We start from the raw sequence: 21,595 nt of genomic DNA on the forward strand, positions 1-21,595 counted from the left end.
AAAAAAAAATGGCTGCAAACTTCCCACATTTGATGAAAAACATTAATCTACACATCCAAAAAGCTCTGTGAACTCCAACTAGGATAACATGCACAGGTCCATATGGGGGCTAAAAAGCAGTGGGATGGCATATTTAAAATGCTGAAAAGAAAACTCTAAAGACCTGTCAATCAAGAATCCTCTATCTAGCAAAACTTTATTTCAACAACAAAAACAAAATAAAGTCATTTCCAGATAAACAAAAACTGGAAGAATTCATTTTTAGCAGACCTACCTTATCAGAAATATTAAAGAAAGTTTTTAAGAGAAAGTAAACCCAGATAGTTCTCTAAATCTGTTACTTGTGGCAGGTATCTGAGTTACCAGCAGCATATCCTTATGTGTTCACAGTAACTTCAAGTCTTGCCTCCACGGAAGAAAGAATTTGATTGAGGAGCATAAAGCAGAAAAAGGGACTGAGGCAAGTTTCAGAGCAGGAGTGGAATTTTATTAAAAAGGCTTTAGAACAGGAAAGAAATGAAAGAACACTTGGGAGAGATCCAAGTGGGTGCCTTGGCCTAACCATGATCCTAGGACTTTATAGGCTGCCATCTTGCACCCTTTCCCTGTGATTCTGCCCTTAGGGTAGGCTGCCCACATGTGCAGTGCCCCCCAACCCCTTACCTCTGGGAAGTGAGCATGTGCAGTGTGTTCAGGAAATTATATGCATGCCCATCTGAGGCCTTCCTCCCGTTTCTGGTGTAGTGCCCCCAAAGGTCATACTTCACCATTTTGTCTTTTAATATGCATGCCCAGGAAGTTGCTTCTCCCTGGTGTCTGCATTCAGTTAACACTTTAATGTTAACAGCTGTAGATCATCAGGAGATTGTCTCTCCCTGGAGCCCTGGTGCCAGCTGCCAAATTAGAATTATCGTTTTCAGAGAGGTAGTGTGATAATTGTCAAACCATCGCCTGACTTTTCTAGTGGGTCAGGGAGAAGAGCCTTCTCTTGTCTCGCTAATGTCTATCTAACTACTGTAACAAATCCACACAAAAAATACAAAATGGTAAAGGTATCTATGTAATTATAAAAGATAGTATAACTGCTTATTTCTTTCGTCTCTTAATGGTTTGAAAAGCTATTGTATATATCAATGTGTATACAATTGCATTGTTGAGCCTATGATGGATAGAAATGTATTATATCTGGAAAATAAGAGAACAGCAGAAGTCAGAGGGAGCAGGGTTGTATTAGAGTAAGAAAATAACAATAGATGGTAACTTGAACCCACAGGAACAAAAGAAGAGAACCAGAAATGGCAAATATGAGTGTAAATATAACAAACTCTAAATATAAATTTGCTCATATTTCTGTTCTCAACTTCTTTAGTAACGTGAAATTACGTAAAGTAATAATTACAATACTATAATATTGGGTCAGTAACTTATATAATTGACCGAATTATAATAGTTCAAGACATTATAATAGTTCAAGAAGATGAAGGACAGGATAGAGATATACAAGAGTAACATTTCTATATCTCACTCAAATTAAGTTAGTATAAATCTAAAGTAGATTGTTATAAGATGTATATGGTAAGTCCTAAAGCAACTACCAAGAAAATAACTTAAAATATAGTTCTAAAAAATCACTAAAGGAACTAAAATGTTACATTGGAAAATATTCACTTAATGTAAAAGAAAGCTGTAAAAAAGAAATAAAGAAACAGAAAAGATATGAAACATATAGAAAACAAAAAGTATAATGGCGTGTGAATCCAACTATGCCAAAATAACATTAAATGTGAGTAGATTAAAAAATTCAATTAACAAGCAGATTGTCAGACTGGATTAAAAAAACCCTCAATATCTACTAATATGTTCTTTATAGAAGACACACCAGAGATTCAAAGATACAAACAGGTCGAAAGTAAAAGGATGATAAAAGATACACCATGATGCAAATAGCAACCATAAGAAATCAATAGTGTCTATACTATCAGACAAAATAGACTTTAAGACAAAAAAAAGTTACTACTAATAAAGAGGATCTTTTTATAATGACAAAAGGGTCAATCCATCCAGAAAACATAGCAATTATATATAAAAATAACAACAGAGTCCCAAAATAACGTGAGACAAATGATGACAGAAATGAAGGAAGGAATAGTTAACTGAACAATAATAGTTGAAAACCTCAATACCCCACTTTCAATAATGAACAGAACAACTAGGCAGAAGATCAACTTCTATCTGGAAACAGAAGACTTGAACAACACTATATACAACTATATACAAACTGGACCTAACAGACATTTACAGAATATGTCATCCAACAATAGCAGAACACACATTCTTCTCAAGCACACATGGACTATTCTACAAGATAGACCATATGTGTGCTAGGCCATAAAACAAGTTTCAATAAATTTAAAAGGATGGCAATCATACAAAACATGTTTTCTGATCACAATAAAGTAAAACTCGAAATTAATAGCTATAAGGAAGTTTGGGAAATTAACAAATATGTGGAAGTTAACATACTCTTAAAAGAACCAGGTGTGGTGGCTCACACCTGTAATCCCAGCACTTTGGGAGGCCGAGGCGGGTGGATCAGAAGGTCAGGAGATGGAGACCATCCTGGCCAACATGGTGAAACCTCGTCTCTACTAAAAATACAAAAATTAGCTGGGCATGGTGGCGCATGCCTGTAATCCCAGCTACTTGGGAGGCTGAGGCAGGAGAATCGCTTGAACCTGGGAGTCGGAGGTTGCAGTGAGCTGAGATCATGCCACTGCACTCCAGCCTAGTGACAGAGCGAGACTCCATCTCCAAAAAAAAGAAAAAAAAGAAAAGAAAAAGAACCAATGGGTCAAGGAAGAAATCACTGGAAAAATTAGAAAATAAGATGAATGGAAATGAACACATAATATACAAATACTTACAGGATGCTTCTAAAGCAGTGCTTACAAGGAGATTTATAGTGTTAAACACAAATGTTGAAAAAGATCAAATGTCTCAAGTCAACAACTTAACTTTTTATCTTGAGACAATGGAAAAAAGAATATATAATAAGGATTAAAGCAGTAATTAAATAAATGAATAATAAGAATAAAGGAAGTCTCCATAGCCAAAGGTTGTTCTTTAAAAAGATCAACAAAATAGAAAAACTGTTAGCTAGACTGACCTAAACAAACGAAAAGACTCAAAGTATTAAAATCAGAAATGAAAGATGTTACTATCAACCTTACAGAAAAAATTACAAGGGAATACTATGAACCTTATGCCAACAAATTAGATAATGTAGATGAAACAGAAAAACTCCCAGAAAGACACAAACTTCTGAAATTGACTCAAGAAGAAATGAAATGCTGAAATAGACATAAGAAATTGAATTAGTAACAAAAAACTTCCCACACAGAAAAACGCAGGCCTAGATGGCCTTATTGGTAAATACTATCAAATGTTTAAAGAAGAATGAATACCAATTTCTTCATGAACTCTTCCAAAAAACAAGAGGGAACTTTTTTTTAACTCATTCTATTAGTTATTATCCTGATAAAACCAGATAAAGACATTGTAAGAAAACTACAGATTAGTATTACTTGCGAATATAGATGGAAAAATCCTCAACAAAATACCAGAAAATCAAATCCAGCAATATTTAGAAAGAATTAAACACCATGGCCAAGAGGGATTTCTCCCAAGAACGCAAGACTGGTAACACCAAATCAACAGACTAAAGGACAAAACTGCATGATTATGGGAATAGATGTAAAAACATTTGGCAAAATTCAACATGCATTCATGATAAAAGCACTCAACAAATTAGCAGCAGAAGGGGACTTCCTCAACCTTATAAAAAGCATTTATGAAAAACCCACAGCTAGCATAATACTTGATGGTGAAAGACTGAATCCTTTCCCCCTAAGATCAGGTATAAGACAAGGATGTTTGCTTTTGTTACTTCTATTTAACATTGTACTGCAGGGTCTAGCCGGGGCAATTAGGCAAGAAAATGTAATGAAAGGCATGAAGATTGTAAAAGAAGAAGTAAAATTATGTCTATTTGCAGAGAATGTGATTTTGCATACAGAAAATCCTAATAAGTCTGCCAAAAAACTATTAGAAATAATAAGTTCAACAGGGCTGCAGGAATCAAGACAAATATACAATAATCAATTGTATTTCTATATAGTAGCAATGAGCAAACTGAAAATGAAGTTAAGAAAACAATAGCATAAGAAAAACATGCTTAGGAATACATTTGACATAAGAAGAGCAAAATTTATACTCTGGAAACTATAAAACATTGCTGAAAGAAATTAAAGATCTAAATAAATGGACAGACATCCATGTTCATGGATCAGATGATTTAATATTAAGATGGCAGTGCTCCCCAAATTGATCTACAAATTCAAAGCACTCTCTATCAAAATCCCACATTTATGTAATGTCAACTAATCTTCAGTGAAGGGTGCCAAGACAATTCAATGGGGAAAAGTACAGTCTCTGCAACAAATGATGCTGGGACAGCTGAATATCCACATGCCAAAGAATGAAGTTGAACCTCTTCTTCATACCATATTTAAAAATTAACTCTAAATGGATCAGTGATCTAAATATAAGAGCTAAAACTATAAAAATCCTAGAAGACAACACATATAAATCTTCAAGGTCTTAGATCTGGCAGTGGATTCTAACATATGACATGAAAAGCTCAAACAACAGGAGAAAACAAATGAGATATCATCCAATGAAAATAATTTCTCATCAAAAGACATTATTAAGAAAGTGAAAGGAAAGCCTACAGAATGGGAGAAAATATTTGCAAATCATATATCTTATCAGGGTCTAGTATCCAGAATAAAGAACACTTATAACTAAATAAGACAACGCAACTAAAAAATGGGCATAGGACTTGAATCAACATTTCTCCAAAAAAGATATACAAGTGGCCAATATGCACAGGAAAAAATGCTCATTAGCCACCAGAAAAATGCAAATCAAAACCACAGTGAGAGAACACTTCACATCCACTAGGATGGAAATAATAAGAAAGACAGATAAATGGCAAGGATGTGGAAAAATTAGAACCCTCACACACAGTAGGTAAAAAATGTAAAATGGTGCAGCTACTTTGGAAAAGGTCTGCAGTTTCTCAAATGGTCTTATAGAGTCATCATATGAGCTCGCAATTCTACTCCTAGGTATATATCTAAGAGAAATGAAAACATGCTCACAGCCCAGAATGGAAAACAACCCAAATGTTCATCAATTGATGAATGGATAAATGTAATATATGCATACAATGAAATACTCAGCATAAAAATTAATGAAGTACTGATACATACTAAAACAGTGATGAAGTTTGAAAACATTATACTCAGTGAAAAAAGTCAGTCACAAAGGACCACATATTGTATGATTCCATTTATATGAAATGGCCGGAAATGAAAAATCCATAAACAGAAAGTAGATTAGTGGTTTCCTAGGGCTGGGTGGGATTGGGGATGATGGACAGGGAGTAAGGGGTTTCTTTTTGGGGTACTGAAAATGTTTTAAAATTGATTTTGGTTATGGATAGAAAACTGTAATAGACCAGAATCCATTGAATTGTATGCTTTCAATGAATGAATTATCTCAAGAAAGCTTTTAAAACAAAACATTAAATGTGAACAAATACAAGATCAAGTGTACATTTTTTTTTTTTTAAGACAGGGTCTCACTCTGTTGCCCGGGCTGGAGTGCCGTGGTGCAATCTCAGCTCACTGCAACCTCTGCCTCCTAAATTCAAGCGATTCTCCTGCCTCAGCCTCCTGAGTAGCTAGGATTACAGGTGCGCACCACCATGCCTGGCTAATTTTTGTATTTTTAGTAGAGATGGTTTCACCATGCTGCCCAGGTTGGTCTCAAACTCCTGACCTCAAGTGATCCGTCTGCCTTGGCATCCCAAAGTGCTGGGATTACAGGCGTGAGCCACGACCCAGCCAAGTGTACAGTTTTATAGTGTAGTCACATGGCACACTGCACTATGAAATGTGATGTTTCAGTCAATGATGCAGGAATATCTGATGGTGGTCCCATAACATTATAATGGAACTGAAAAATTCTTATTGCCTAGTGGAATCATGGCCATTGTAACACTCTAGTGCAATGCATTACTCACGTGTTTGTGGTGGTGATGGTGTAAACAAACCTACTATGCTGCCAGTCACATAAAAGTCTAGCACATACATTATATACAGGACATAATACTTGATAATAATAAACTATGTTAATGGTTTATGTATTTACTAAACTTTTAAATCATTATTTAAGTGTATTCCTTTTACTTATTAAAAAATAACTGTAGAATAGCTCAGGCAGATCCTTCAGGAATTATTTCAGAAGGCACTATTATTACAGATGACAGCTGTATGCATGTAATTACCCTTGAAGACCTTCCAGTGGGACAAAATGTGGAGGTAGAAGACAGTGATATTGATGGTCCTGACTTTGTGTAGGCCTAGACTAATGTGTGTATGTTTGTGTCTTAGGTTTTAACAAAGAAGTTTAAAAATTAAAAAAACGAATGAATACTTTTAAAAATAGAGACAAGCTCATAGAATAAGGATATAAAGAAAATACTTTTGTACAATTGTACAATACGTTTTGTGTTTTAAGTTAAATGTTTTACAAAAGAACCTGTTTTTAAAAATTAAGAAGTTTATAAAGTAAAAATGTTACAGTAAGCTAAGGTTAATTTATTATTGAAGGAAAGTATTTAAAAATAAATTTAGTGTAGCCTAAGTGCACAGTGTTTATAATGTCTACAGTAGTATACAGCAATGTCTTAGGCTTTCATATTTACTAGCCACTTACTCACTGATTCACCCAGAGCAACTTCCAGTCCTGCAAGCTTCATTCATGGTAAGTGTCCTATACAGGTGTACCATTTTTACCTTTTATATTGTATTTTTACTGTACCTTTTGTATGTTTAGATATGTTTTGATACAAATACCATTGTCTTACTTGCCCAAAATATTCAGTACAGTAACATGCTGTACAGGGTAGTCTAGGAGTACCATAAAGTCTAGATGTGTAGCAGGCTATACCTCTAGGTTTGTTTAAATACACTCTATGATGTTTGCACAATGACAGAATTGCCTAACGATGGATTCTCAGAATGTATCCCCGTCTTTAAGTGATGCAGGACTGCATTTACTATTTTTAAATATTTTAATTTGCAAATATTTATAAAGTATTCATTCTTACACTTTATAACCTTATGTTTGCTGTTTATCAAAAATGTGATAAACTTGATCATATTAATGGTCTTCTAATTCCAAATTTACTATCTTACATGAAAACTATCCTTACTAATACCAGATTTTAAAACTCTCTTAATTTCTCTTTAAATTCAGCAGTTTTTTTTTTTTCAATATCTACAATTAAACTTGTTTTCAAACTTAGGTTGTAGAGTAGGCATTTTATAGTTGGTTTTTTCATAATCCATTTTTGTTAATATGCCAATTTTTTACCTCTTGAAATCTTGGAATTTTGGGGCTTGAAATTGTACATATCATTGAATTTTTATGTATATACTCAAGCAACTCCTGGCCAGATCAGGATAAAATATTTCCAGTATCCTTTATTCTTTCCCAGTCAATACCTACTTCTCAGACCTAGCCACTACCATCACTTCTATAAGTTTTGCCATAAATAAGTTTTCCCTATTTTGAACTTATGTATAAATTCATAATATGGTATGTACAAAATTTTGTGTTTGGCTTCTTTTGCTCAGTATTATATCTGTCCGTTTTGCCCATGTTTTTGTGTGTAGTCATAGTTTGTTCTTTTTTATTACTATGCAGTATTCCATTGTCCAACTATTGTGTTATTTATCTGTTGCAGTTTTGGGCTATTAATAAACCTACTGTGAACATTCCTGTACATGTCTTTCTGGGGAAGTGTGAACTCATTTCTCTAGGGCATATATTCAGAAGAACTGCTGGGTCATCAAGAAAACATGTTTAGTTTTAATAGATACTGCCAAATGGTTTTCCAAAATGGTTTTTCCACTCTGTGGTTTAAACTAGTAATGTATGAGTTTCAAGTACTTTATCCCTACTACCACTTGGTGTCATTCTTTTTAAATTTTAGTCTTTTTGATGAGTGTGTAATGGTATATTTCATGGTGGTTTTAATTTACATTTCCCTACTGACTAATGCTGTTGACCATCCTCTGGGCCAAATTTGGCCCATGGGTTGAAGGATGCTGACCTGTGTATGCTCTTGCCTAGCCTCACTGGCCACTCTTTAATTTCCTTTCCTGATTCTTCCTGTCTCCCTTCCTTTGAATTTTGGTATCCTAGGACCTACCCTTCTTCTTTGTCTACATTATTCCCTTAGGGATCCAGTCAGGTCTTCTTATCTCTAAAGTGACAACATCCAAATTTTTAACTTCTGCCTGTGTCTCTCTCCTCTGAATTTCTGACTAAAATACTCTGATTATTAGAAATTACTCCCTTCTCATCTCTCCTAATTGTTTTTGTCTTCTCAGAGACTTCCTTCTTTCGGTAAATGGCAACTCCATTCTTCTGGTTGCTCAAGCCAAAAAACTTAAAGTTATCTTTGACTATTGCTTTTCACTTAGAACTCACACTCAACCTGTTAAGTAAATCCTATTGGTTATATCTTAAAAATGTGTCTTGAACTCAACTGCTTTCATTTTCCAATGTTAATTCAAGCTACCATCATCTTGCACCTGGAATATTGCAGCAGCCTCCTAACTAGTCTCACAGCATCCACACTGGTGCCTCTAGTCCATTTAAAAATAACAGTACAGGCCGGGTGCAGTGGCTCACGCCTGTAATCCCAGCACTTTGGGAGGCTGAGGCGGGCGGATCACAAGGTCAGGAGTTCAAGACCAGCCTGGTCAATATGGTGAAACCCCGTCTCTACTAAAAATGCGAAAAAAAATTAGCCAGGTGTGGTGGCAGGCACCTGCAATCCCAGCTACTTGGGAGGCTGCGGCAGAATTGCTGAACCCAGGAGGCAGAGGTTTCAGTGAGCCGAGATCATGCCACTGCACTCCAGCCTGGGTGACACAGCAAGACTCCATCTCAAAAAATAAAAATAAAAAAAACCACACTTTATTGCTATAGTGATATTTGTACCTCATGGATTTTGTTCTGGAATAGTTTACCCCCAGATATCTGTATGGCTTACTCTCTAATCCTTTATGTTCTCAAACGTTCTGAAGTTTGAGACATCTTCCCTGACCACTCAAAGTACTACTTCTACCCTGCACTTCCTATTTCCTTTTGTCTTGTCTTCATAGCACTTATCACATCTAATATCTTATGCTTTATCTGTTGGTTTATTTCCATTAGAAGTTCCATGAGGGCAGGGATAATTGATTTCCCAACATCTAGAAAAAATGCCTGACACATAAGTGCTCAGTAAATATGTGAGTGAATGAATGCATGAGTGCTGGAAAGAGCATGGGACTTGAAGTTAAACTGATTGGATTAAAATCCCAGCTTTCTTATTAGCAGTGTGAATTTCAACAATTTACTTCAACTGTCTCTGAAACTCATTTTCTGTAAAATAGGAATATATATCTCATGGCCCTGGCCTATGAATTAAATGTAACATTTATGAAGTGTTTGCCATATATTAGGCATTCAAATGGTAATCTGTCCATCTCTGTCCTGAGCCTAAGAAACCATAATAGTTCTTTACAGTATAATCAGTTTATTTTTGAGCAATACTTTTTTTTTCAAAAGAAAAAGTTGCAGAAATGTAAGTTGGAAGTCACAATGCAGTTTTTTTTTCAAAAGCAATTTGGAAAAAATAATTTATGAAATAAATGTCAATATATAAATACTGTAATAACCCAATAGGGAAAAATAGATGTATTTTAAAATGAACTGTGAAACTACAGTACGCAGAATACGGGGCTTTTAATTCTTTTCTCAGAAAGCAAAAAATATTTCAAGTGTGTTTAAAATAACTGAGTAAAAAAAAAAAGAACCCAAACAATTAAGATAGGAAATAATAAAGGTGAAAATGAAATAAAATTTTTAAAATGTAGTTGACCAATAAACGCAAAAGCTGATTATTTGAAAATATTAACAAAATTAATAAATCTCTGCCTAGATTATCAGGATTAAAAGAGCCTCACATTTGTAACTCTGTGACATTAGACTGAGGTCTGTAAACTATAGGTTGGTGGGCCAAATCCAGGCAACACCTGTTTTTGTAAATAAAGTTCTATTGTACCAAAGCCACATTCATTCATTTATGTACTGTATATAGCTGCTTTTGTGCTATAACAGCAGAGTTAAGAAATGTTGACAGAGACCACATGTCCTGCAAAGTCTAAAATATTTACTATCTGGACCTTTACAAAAAAAATGTTTGCTGACCTCTTAACTAGAGGAAACCCAGTATGCAAGTTCTTTTTAAAAAATGATTCTATTTCCCAGGGAAATAAGAAGCATAGCCATCATTTTAAGAATGAGATGTGGAGGTCTCAGAAGTTTGAGGAAAGAGCAGCGCGAAATAGTTATCTGGTAAAAAGGTTACTGAATGTATCAGAGAAATGTAGTAAGTGTATCAGAGAAATGTACTAAGACTGACAAAGAGCACTAAACACATCACTTAAGGATAGTGGCAAGATGGGACAAGTAAGCATGCTTCTCTTTGAAAGATACTTACATCCTCAAAATAGATTATTTGTGTTCCAGAGTTGGTTCTAAAGATATAGGACCATTTTCTAATTCAGATTAATTAAAAATTAAATACCAACTAATTTTAAAAAAGGTTTACTACTTTCAAGTGCATAGAATTAAAACTCAGTTGACAACATTTGTATCTGTGGTTCAGGGAAGTCTCTAAGGGAGACTTACTTTAAATCCTCTTCTTGTTTGAAGAAGAGAAGAAAAATGATTTATACTGAGTTATGTGTTACAAAAGAATGGATATTCCAGAAGCAATAAATGCCTCCCTTCCCGCAAAAAGCACTGTAATCAGGTGAAATAATCAGAGTAGGAAGAGACTTATGCTCTAGATGAAATAACCAATTTTAAATTACAAGAAAAATAATAATTCTATTGATACTTTACCCATAGAAATAACTTCACTAATCACAACAATGCTGCTGTACTTATTCTCAATCTGTAATCTAAAAATCACACTGTGTCATGGAAATGAAAAATCACCATTTTATGGACTTCTGTGACAAATCCTTTTGGAAAGCAAATATTTTATAAATTCACATCTTCACAGTTTGTCCTAATATTTGCGAGATGGTTTGGTTTTGTCAGAAGAAAAAAAATAGTGACCTACCCAGCCAATAGAAGAAATATCATTATCTTTAAGATGAACTGAGGTGAAAAAGACAATCATAAATAGATAATCTGATAGTATGTCATTTTCTGAGAGTGCTTTTTAAAATTTTTTTTTTTTTAAAAAGGAAACTAAAACTAAGATTTATTAAATGTTTTCTATTTACCCAAGCACTGTGCTGACTGGGAGTGAAACACTGTATGTGTTAAAAGAAGTACCTTTAGAACTTCTAAGACTCATTTAAATGAGGAAATATCAGCAAAAAAATATGCCTTGCTATTTAGCAGTTAGGTTAAAATATGGCCAATTCTCAAGAAAAGAATGATTGAAATCTTGTAGTTTTGGTATAAGCAAGAGCAGAAACTGCTACTAATTATAGATCCTTATAATGTTCTTCCTTTCCACAATTCTTTATCTGTGCTTTGTTTACTTCTCAAACAACTGTAGATCAACTGCATCTGTTTAAGTATGGCACTAAGTCAGGCAAGATTTAAGTACTATATTCTCTGCTAAATTGGGCCTGCCATTTTATTAACTTCACTTTAAAAATCTGAAAATCATTAGTTTGATTTTGAAAAATAAATCTTACTTTAGATATGATAAATAATATGTCAAATGCCATTCACTTTTATAATATTCCTAAGAATGTTATATAGTATGTATGTTCCCCAAAGTATTTTACATAAAAAATTCCAATGTACTTTGTACTTTCAACACCAGTCTCTAATTTTTTGCTGTTTTAATTTGTATTTAAAATACTTTTCCTAAGGATTTAATCCACAATTCAAAACTTTAACATTTTACCTTTATCCTTTGTATTCTCTCAGATACTTTCAAAATTAATAATTTCCTCATAATGTAATATAACAAAAAAATCCAATAAAAATCCATATTATGTAATAATGGAGGGGGAAAAAAGAAACAAAAGAAAGCTCAATTTATGAACACTTTACAAATCCTGTACGATTCACTGACAAATGAACACACTTTAAAAAATGTCAAAGATATTAGATATAACTTTAATTTTGAATGTGATTTAGATACGATCAAACCAAAAAATTACTTATACTTTACTACCTAATCACAATTAACATAAACATAACAAATTGTATTTATAAGTCAAAGTAACAAACCACTTTTTAAAAAAAAACTCCACATTGTCAAAATTTTTCCTATGGAATATTGGCAAAGAATGTAAAGTTATATTGTGCTGCAAACAGTTAAAAGCAATGATTTTTGGATGGTTCAATAAGATGTGTATATATAACTTAAAACAAATATTTGGATTATTTCCTCTGGAAAGTTAGCTTGCAAATGAAAAGAAGAAAACCGAATCCGCATATGGTAATAGCTGTCCTCTTCAAAATTCTACTATTCCATGTAGATACTTCTTCCCTTAATTGTATATGAGTTGGATCATTTTCCCGTTCATTTTGCAACTAATATTTAGTATGGAAAAAGAAAAGAGGAGTTACTGTACAATACATTAATAAAACATTTTGATTTTAAAAAATATCATAATATCCATGTTAATTCATTTCACTTGATTTAGATGTAGGCAACTCAAGATTCCCATGGAAGATTTAAAGTAAACATATATGTCTGAAAGACAGTCTTTCATTAGAATCCCATTACTGTAAATCATTAGTTTTACATTAAAAATACATGCTTTCATAGATGATCACATTTTAAAATGGTGTTTTTAATGTCACGAGACAAAGTAACTTTAAATTTAAAGTTTCTGTTTTACTTATAAGGAATGACAATTGATATTGATTTGCTTGTGCATTAAATATCAATTAACGTCTTACAAAAAAGTGAATCATTATTATAGCAAACCTAAAACATGAAATTTAGCAAAAACGAGAAGATCAGATGCTACTGGTAGAAACTTAATTTATTTAAATAGAATTGCAGTAACAAATGTCAACAAAAACTTAAGTGGTTCTTTTAGTAATTCTCAGCAATGAAAGTACAGTACCCAGTCAGTTTCTAACTTCCCAGATGCAAATTTCTTGCTTAAGAAGCTCCCTTCTCCCCTACCTACTGTGTGTGTGTGCCCACTCTGTGTGTATCTGTGTGTGTGTGTTTCTGTGAGAGACAGAGAGACAGAGAGAGAGAGAGAGAGAGAGAGAAGGGGGAAGTGAGAGAGAGAGAAAAGACTTAAAGAGGGAGGGCTGAGAGGAGAGGGATGGCTTTTGGGGGTGGGGCAGGAGAGAAAATAAGCAGAAACCAAAGATCCTTGAAAGATAAAAAGAATCAGGCACATTTATAGAGTGATATTTACTAGAAACATCCTGTGCTGGAGTGATGACATAAATACTTTCAACATCAGCAGGAATAATGACTTCCAAATTCTACAGTGTAAATATTTAATTAAAAAGCTTGCAAAATTAATTTTAAATTTATAGCAGAAAACCAGACTCCAATGCCAATCTCATTAATACCATATTCTTGGTCTGACTTCCAAATGGCTTCATTCAGCAACAGATTCCTTTTTGACACTGATGCTCCATTTACTGAATCCTGAGACAGTCATTCCTTTTATTAATCAATTACTTAGAATGACCCTTTCTGACAGGAGCCTGTCAGTGTGTTGGCTTGAAAGAGAGTGATGTGGTGTTAAAGTCTAGCCTTGACCTCTCCCACCCTCTCTCTGTTACCTCCATACACTTATCTGTGATAACTTATGTTTCTTAAAAAAAAATCCCTTCAATTATTATTGGTAAACTCTGAAATAATATAAGCTTAACAGGCATGATAGCATATTTCCAAATCTGGAAGCCTTCATAATTCCCTAAATCAAATCTCATTATGATGATTACTACTTGTACAAGACTAATCTGAAAAAACCAACCCACTAGCTTGCTCCAAAATTTAAGACTTTCTTGCCCAAAGAACTGTATTTGCCATTATTATAAACTAATACATGTTTTCAAGGGTAGTTCTTATATAGAAATGCATAAATTCTAAATAGAGAAGGGTCACGGGAAAAAGGTCTTCTATTTAGCCAAAGAACAATGAAAATTCTCTTAACAGGTATGCATTATTAAAATAAATATGGTACCTGATTGAATTGTGTATACTTTAGAGTCAGTTTCTATAGCAAAGTTTCTTAATTTCACTCATTTAACAAAAATATGGTTTTCTAATTTCATTTTAATTCTATACACACACCCTTACCCCTCACCCCCATGTTTTTAGTTCATCTTGGAGAAACCAAATTAGTAAATAACCCTGAAGCAAATAGCTTTTAGGAAATTTCCTACACTAAACATTAAAGGCTGATGTTTTGCAAGAAGTATCTTTATACATATGCTTCTAAACTTCCCTGGGATACCCATGAAAAATGGCATGTTTAAGTAGGATCAGTTCCTTTCCTTTGATTCTTCTAGATGAGATATAATTTTTGGGTCATCAGCAAGTTCAGGATGTAGCTTGTGTAGCACAGGTGCCTGACATATAGCAGGCAGTCTTATGTTTGTTGAATGAATAAATGTCAGAGACAATACAATTTCTAAGATGCCTTTTTTCTTTGGAAATAAATTATTTTCTACAAGAATTCTGAAACATAGTGCTCATTTCCTCATTTAAAATGTTCTTTCCCAGCTATTATTTTGTATAATAGAATTTGCTTCACAACTTTCTTCTCACTTTAAAAGACTCCTTTTGGGCCAGGCGCAATGGCGCACACCAGTAATCTCAGCACACTCGGAGGCCGAGGCAAGTGGATCACTTGACATCAGGAGTTTGAGACCAGTCTGGCCAACATGGTGAAACCTCATCTCTACTAAAAATACAAAAATTAGCTGGGTGTGGTGGTGCATGCCTGTAGTCCCAGCTACTCAGGAGGCTGAGGCAGGAGAATTGCTTGAATCTGGAAGGCGGAGGTTGCAGTGAGCCAAGATTGCACCACTGCACTCCAGCCTGGGCAATGGAGTGAGACTCAGTATCAAAAAAGAAAAAAAAAAGACTCCTTTTGATTTAACACATTAATAGCTAGAATGACAATTTATTAATACTTGGAACATGTATACAATCTATTTTGAAGAAAAGAACTTTTTTGATAAAATATTAATGAAAATGTTAAATGAATTATGGGTTGAAGCTGTATAAATAATGTATAATCTATCCTTCAAATCAGATATTTCACAAAAGCTTTATAGACATCAAATTTATGTATTAAACAGATAAAGAGCTCGGAAGTGAGCTCTTTAGTCGACTGGAAGTGTTTTTCTTTATTATCCATCTCCAACAAAGGTTCCCATTCCAACAGCTTAGATTTTGTTATAGCCAATTTTTTTTAAAGTGGAAAAATCACCTGTCCTTAAATACAGATATATATTATATATTTTTTCTATATTGTAAAAAACCAGAACCAAAGAAGTCCATACTCTTTAGAAAACAGTTAAATTATAAAAATATTACAGAGAGTCTGGACAATTACAGGGGTATTTCATCCACAATCGTGTCTCTTTAACAGAACCAATAAATACTTCATTTATTTTATCTGTACATTTACATGTAAGTAATAACGTACAAATATAATTTCATATCTTTAGCTGATATTTAATTTTCATTATTTTTTCAACTGCCTATTATAACAATTGGTATAGCATAATTTATTAAGTTGTTCTCCTAGTATAGAATACTTATGGTACATATAATTTGGGATAAAATACTATCAAAAGATACAAATATTTAATAGTATTTGGCACATCCTGCCAAACTGTTTTTGAAAGGGCTTGTGTTCTCACATAAGAATATCAGTTTGGTGAACTCTAAGTAGAAATTGGTAGTGATACATTTTTCCCTGCTAATTGAAAAGATAAAAATGACATATTCTTCTTTTAGTACGCATTTGCTTAATGGCCAACAAAGTCTGTTTCCTGTGTATATTTCTTCCTTTGGAAACTGTCCTTTTTCCCACTTGTCTAAGTGTTCCATTTGTTGCTCTTACCAGAACTGCTTCATTGTCTAACACCTTTTGCTGTAAATCATTTCCCTTCATTTTTCCCCTCCTTTTAATGTTAAATATATACCTTTTGAATTAGGTCTTTTAGTTTGCAGACCTTTTCACTCAAATCTTCAACATTATTAACCAATTCTTCACAAACTGAAGTAAAATTCTGGGGAGAAGCCCATTCCAGTGTTATCTGTTAATATTTTCAAAAGTTCAACATTAAATAATGGAAATAACTTTCTACAACTTTATATCCACAAAGATTATACAACATTCTTAAACATTAGATTACATAATTGAAAGGCATTTTTTTGTTTAGGATAAATACTGACACCAAAAATAAGTAATTTTATAAAAATATAATCAAATGAGCTTGCCAAATGCATTTCCTGAATATATGTATATATAACTTTCTATATGGAGATTAATATTAGTAATAACATTTATGATGAACAAATCAGTTCATGAAGGTTTTAAAAATGATGATTCTCATATTAATTGATGTTATATAAAAATCACTGGAAAACAAGTGCATTAAAAAATTTTCACTAAGACAAACAGCTAAAACCTAATCACATGAAATAAGCTGCTTTTGCAGGCCACTTCCACTTTTTCTTTCTTTTTTTTGAGAAAGTGTCTTGTTCTGTTGCCCAGGCTGGAGTGCAGTGGTGCAATCATGGCTCACTGCTGCCTCAACCTCTTGGGCTCAAGTGATCCTCCTGCCTCAGCCTCCTGAATAGCTAGGACCACAGGTGCATGCCATCATGCCCAGCTAATTTTCAGCTAGGACTAGAGGCACATGCCATCATGCGCAGCTAATTTTTAAAAATTCTTTGTAGAGACAGGGTCTCACCATGCTGCTCAGGCTGGTCTCAAACTCCTGGCCTCAAGCAATTCTCCCACGTGGGCCTCCCAAAGTGTTGGGATTACGGATGTGAGCCACTATGCCCAGCCACTTACACTCTTCCTATTCTAAATTTATTTAAAAATATTTTATTGATATGGTTTTTAAATAACACACTGTTTTATTTCCATTTTCACTTGGGTCTCCTGTCACTTTATATTTTAAAAAAGAACACATGGTAAATTCAATACACGGATCAGTTTAATTTTTGGTCTGACTCATTTTCTTTTTCTTGAAGGCAAGAATACAAAGTTTTAAAATCAGTATGTAAAGGAGTAATATTAAACAAATTGACTTATTTAGATCTTATGTGATTTTGCAGAACAAACGATGTAATTTCAGCAAATCAATACTATTTATTGAATTATCATGAACTTATCTGGAATGTTCTTCAGTGTTCATACTTTTCTTCACTTAATAACTTTTGTAGAATACCTTTTGAGAATTTACAGGTAACTCAGTAATAACATTCTGTACAGCTGTTATTAAATGGCCACACTGTTTATTTAATTTGAGAAGAAAGTTGAGGAACTCATCACCACTAAAGAAAGGAAACAAACAAACAAGCAGGAATTACTAATAAGAGCAATTTATTTCATTCTACTAGGCAAGTTACTGAAAATCTAGTCATAAAATTAGATTCTTCCAAAAGAATTCATGGAATAGCTAATACAGATTAGGTACTGAAACAGGCATTGATTATAAAAGAAAAACAAACCTCCAATCCCGAGGATCTTAAAGTTCAGGATAAGATGCAGATATACAATTACAGCTTTATTATTCACAGGAACACATGAAGGAGGAAGACAAAATAACCAATATTTGAGTAGCTACTATGTGAAGACACTGTACTAGTTATTTTACATTTGTTATTTCTTTTGATTTTTCCTAACAACCCCTATAGGATAGATGTTGTTAATACTATTTTATAGTGGAGACATCTAAAATTCAGGGGGAATGAATTTAGTATCACATGAGAAGGAGGGAGTAGGGAATTAGAAATGCTTTACAGAGATAATACTTGAATTGAGTCTGTGGTTGAAGAAAAAGTTTGCCAAGTAGGTAAGGAAGAGATTCTGGATAAAGAGAATAGCAGGTGCAAGAGTACAGGGGTAAAGGTCACTAAGGTGTAATTAAAACACAAATTATTGAAAAGTAGTAAGAGAAAAGGCTGGATATAACCATTTATTAAAAGAACTTTTGTGTCAGCATAAGGAATTAGATTTTACCTTTCTGATGATGTAGAGTTACTAAGAGATTTTCAACAGGAAATTTGAAAATTAGACTTTTAAATGAGAATGTTTATTTGGAGAGTGGTGTGGATAAAAGGAACACAAAAATAGAAGCAGAATAATTAGGCAACTAACAGAGAAATGCATCCAAGAGATGATGAAGGAAAACTTAAACTAAGGATCTGGCAGTGGCAGTCTTACTGTGGGGAGGAGGTAGAGCAATGACTTGAGAAACCTTTAGGAGAATAAACTGAAAAACTTGGTGATGGATTGTACGTAATGGAAGAATCTACGATGATTCTCAGTTTTTTTGGTTTCCACGGAAGGCGGTGCTGCCAAGCAAGGAATTGAATTTGGTGGTGCATGGTGGGGAAAACAGTGGGATAAAAGAAAACATTATGGCATAATAATTAAGAACACAGGCTCTTGAGTCAAGAGTCAATGTGAGTTTGGATTCAGCTTCCACACTTATTAGCTTTATGATTTTGGGCAAGAATAATCTTAAGCCAAATGTTTCCGTATCTCTAGAATGGAGACAGTAGGTCTCAAGAAAACAATGTACATAAAGTACCTAGGATTGTGCCTAGTACATAGCTGGTGTTCAAGCAAACATAATTATGATGACTGCAATGGTGAGGAGACATGCGGGTGGCAACAACCAGTAAGTGGTAGAAAATGGGGGTCTTGCAAGGGTATTTATTCTGGGCTCTAAAGACTCATGAAGATAGATACAATTCAGAGTCGGTGAACCTCAATGGGAAAAAAATACATCTTTATTTTCACTAACCTCTAACCAAGATTCAGTCTTTCCTTCAATTGCGAAGGTAGCACAGACACAGTAGTATTAGAGATGTCTCCAACAGAAATCAAAACTATGATCATAAAGAAGACCACAGGACATATTGTGAAGAAGGGAGAGTTGATAGGGGTGGAACAGAAAAGCCACTAAAGGAAACGTAGCCTGAGAAGTAGAAGAAAATCAGTAGTTAAGAGTTGTTATGAATGGCAATGAAAGGGATGGATTCAAAGGAGAAAAGATTAGGCACATTAAGTATACTGATTTTGGCAATGAGAAAACACTGGTGACTAGATTAGCTTCAGTGGCAGAAGCCAATTTACAGTAGAAACAACCAAGAAACTTAACCCAACAGAAAAGTTGGTCAAGGCTATTAACAGAGAATTCAGAGAAAAAGAAAGAAACAAAATTTGAATGGATAACAAATATGGGAATACAATAACCATAAGATGCCACATTCTAGCAGAATGACAAAAATTAAGTAGATCATTAATATCAAGAGTTGACAAGTGTATTAGATGACCTTTCTGGGGAGTCCTTTAACAGTATCTACTGAAATAAAAATACAATAAAAATTACTATTATTGGACCAAAGGTAATTGTGTGTGTGTGTGTGTGTGTGTGTGTGTGTGTGTGTGTGTGTGTGACAGAGTCTTGCTCTGTTGCCCAGGCTGGAGTGCAGTGATGCGAGGCTCACTGTAACCTCTGCTCCTGGGTTCAAGTGATTCTCATGCCTCAGCCACCTGAGTAGTTGGGATTACAGGTGTGTACCACCATGCCCAGCTAATTTTTGTATTTTTAGTAGAGATGGGGTTTCACCATGTTGGCCCGGCTCGCCTTGAACTCCTGGCCTCATGTGATCAATCTGCCTCAGCCTCCCAAAGTGCTAACATTATAGGCGTGAGCCACCATCCTAGCCCCCAAAGGATACTTCTAAGCCCATACAGAAATTCTTACTTGTAGAAGTTTTGACTACATACTATACAAAGTTTCTTACACTATTTCTAGAAGGAAAGGTTATAAAAAGCAAGCAATGTCAGCCTCCAATGAAAATAATAGCAAACTTCTAAGATACATTACTGGGATGTATATAGTATTTTCATTTAAGACAAGTCTATTCTCTTAGCTATTAGGCTGAAAAAAATGAACAATTTCACTTTAACAGTTTTATAAAATATAAACTTTATATACATAATACATATAATCAAGTCACTAAGAATAAAAAGTACCTGATGGTTGCTTTCAACAAGCAAACCTAAAATTAAAAAATGTAGGAAAACTCTTGTTCTATTTAGCAGTAAGTATTCATAGAACCATTTTCAAAAAAGATGTAAATCTTCTTTATTTTCTTTCTGATCTTTACTCTAGAAAACACAGAACTTAGGGTATATGACACATTTCTGCCAAAGCAACAGCAGTGATTACTTGTATTTTGTTTCCATGTACTATTTATATAAGTACACTTATAACTTAGATTTCAGTGTTCTTTAAATATTCAAATTTTATTTATCAAGAAAAAGAATAACTACTAAATGAGTAATTCACTAATGCCATATATATTTAATTTATGACCTCAAGGAAATTAAGATCCATTGAGAATTATCATTGGAAGTATCAACTGATAGCAGGTATGTAATTTTAGACAGGTGATTCACAAATATATATGCGGAATATAAATTTATCAGCTCTTATTCTTAAGATAGTAAGACTGAGTTCAAATAAGCAAATTTTATTACTAGCAAAATTAGTCTTAATGAATGAAACGAAAATATATACCTTTCTTGTGACATATAATTTTCAGAGCCACTGAATATGGATGGACAAATTGTACAAAACAAAACTCAACAGTGTGCCATTTACACTATGTGAATGGTGCCTCTCCATCACAGCTGTACAGTATATAACCTACACAACTTTATATGGCAGGCCTGATAACTTTGTGCTTATTTAAAAAATTCAAAATAAGCAGATATGACATAGGTATAGTAGACTGCATTATTTGATCAAATTCTCATGTCTTTTCTACAGAGCTAACTAGTACCAGTCCCCCGATCCCTGTCAGGGGACTATAATTCATGCCCCAGTGACATGAGGCCTGACCACATGACTTGCTTTAGCAAATAAAATATGATTGGAAGTTACTGTGTAACTTTTGAACAGAAGCTTCAAGAGCCACTGAATGATCCTGCCATCTCTCTCTTCCCTTTCCCATGAGATCAGTATGTCCCAGGTTGAGACTGTTCCTCCAGCCTACTCTCAGAATGACAAGATCACTGTTGCTGAGCCATGATATAGACGATCAGGAAATAAAGTCTTGTTATAAGTGACTGACATTTAGAAATTATTTGTTACTACAGCATAACACAGTATAAGCGAACTAAAA

General features: G+C 33.9%; 1 protein-coding gene across 3 annotated transcripts in view, besides 1 other annotated feature; it reads right to left on the reverse strand.

Annotated features, from left to right (window-relative positions):
• Positions 1 to 12,229: 12,229 nt before the first annotated feature.
• Positions 12,230 to 21,595, reverse strand: part of ASZ1 (ankyrin repeat, SAM and basic leucine zipper domain containing 1) — a 64,272-nt gene continuing 54,906 nt past the window's right edge. For 2 of the 3 annotated variants that reach the window (NM_001301822.2, NM_130768.3), the window contains 3 exons: positions 17,620 to 17,725; positions 16,360 to 16,473; positions 12,230 to 12,756 (listed from right to left, as the gene is read on the reverse strand). In NM_001301822.2, coding sequence (NP_001288751.1) covers positions 12,604 to 12,756; positions 16,360 to 16,473; positions 17,620 to 17,725 — 373 coding nt within the window. In that variant the 3' untranslated portion in view covers positions 12,230 to 12,603. The remainder of the gene's footprint in view (positions 12,757 to 16,359; positions 16,474 to 17,619; positions 17,726 to 21,595) is intronic. The other variant, NM_001301821.2, reaches the window with a different exon arrangement.
• Positions 13,737 to 13,925: a silencer, noted in NCBI's record as "conserved region 18 (CR18) negative regulatory element (NRE) in the greater CFTR locus". NCBI's record gives its function as "strongly represses an SV40 promoter coupled to the HS2 beta-globin enhancer in the forward orientation in transfected K562 and 293T cells {active_cell/tissue: 293T | K562}" and the evidence as "EXISTENCE:reporter gene assay evidence [ECO:0000049][PMID:18436892]".

Source organism: Homo sapiens, chromosome 7 (assembly GCF_000001405.40).
Source record: "Homo sapiens chromosome 7, GRCh38.p14 Primary Assembly".
NCBI lineage: Eukaryota > Metazoa > Chordata > Mammalia > Primates > Hominidae > Homo > Homo sapiens.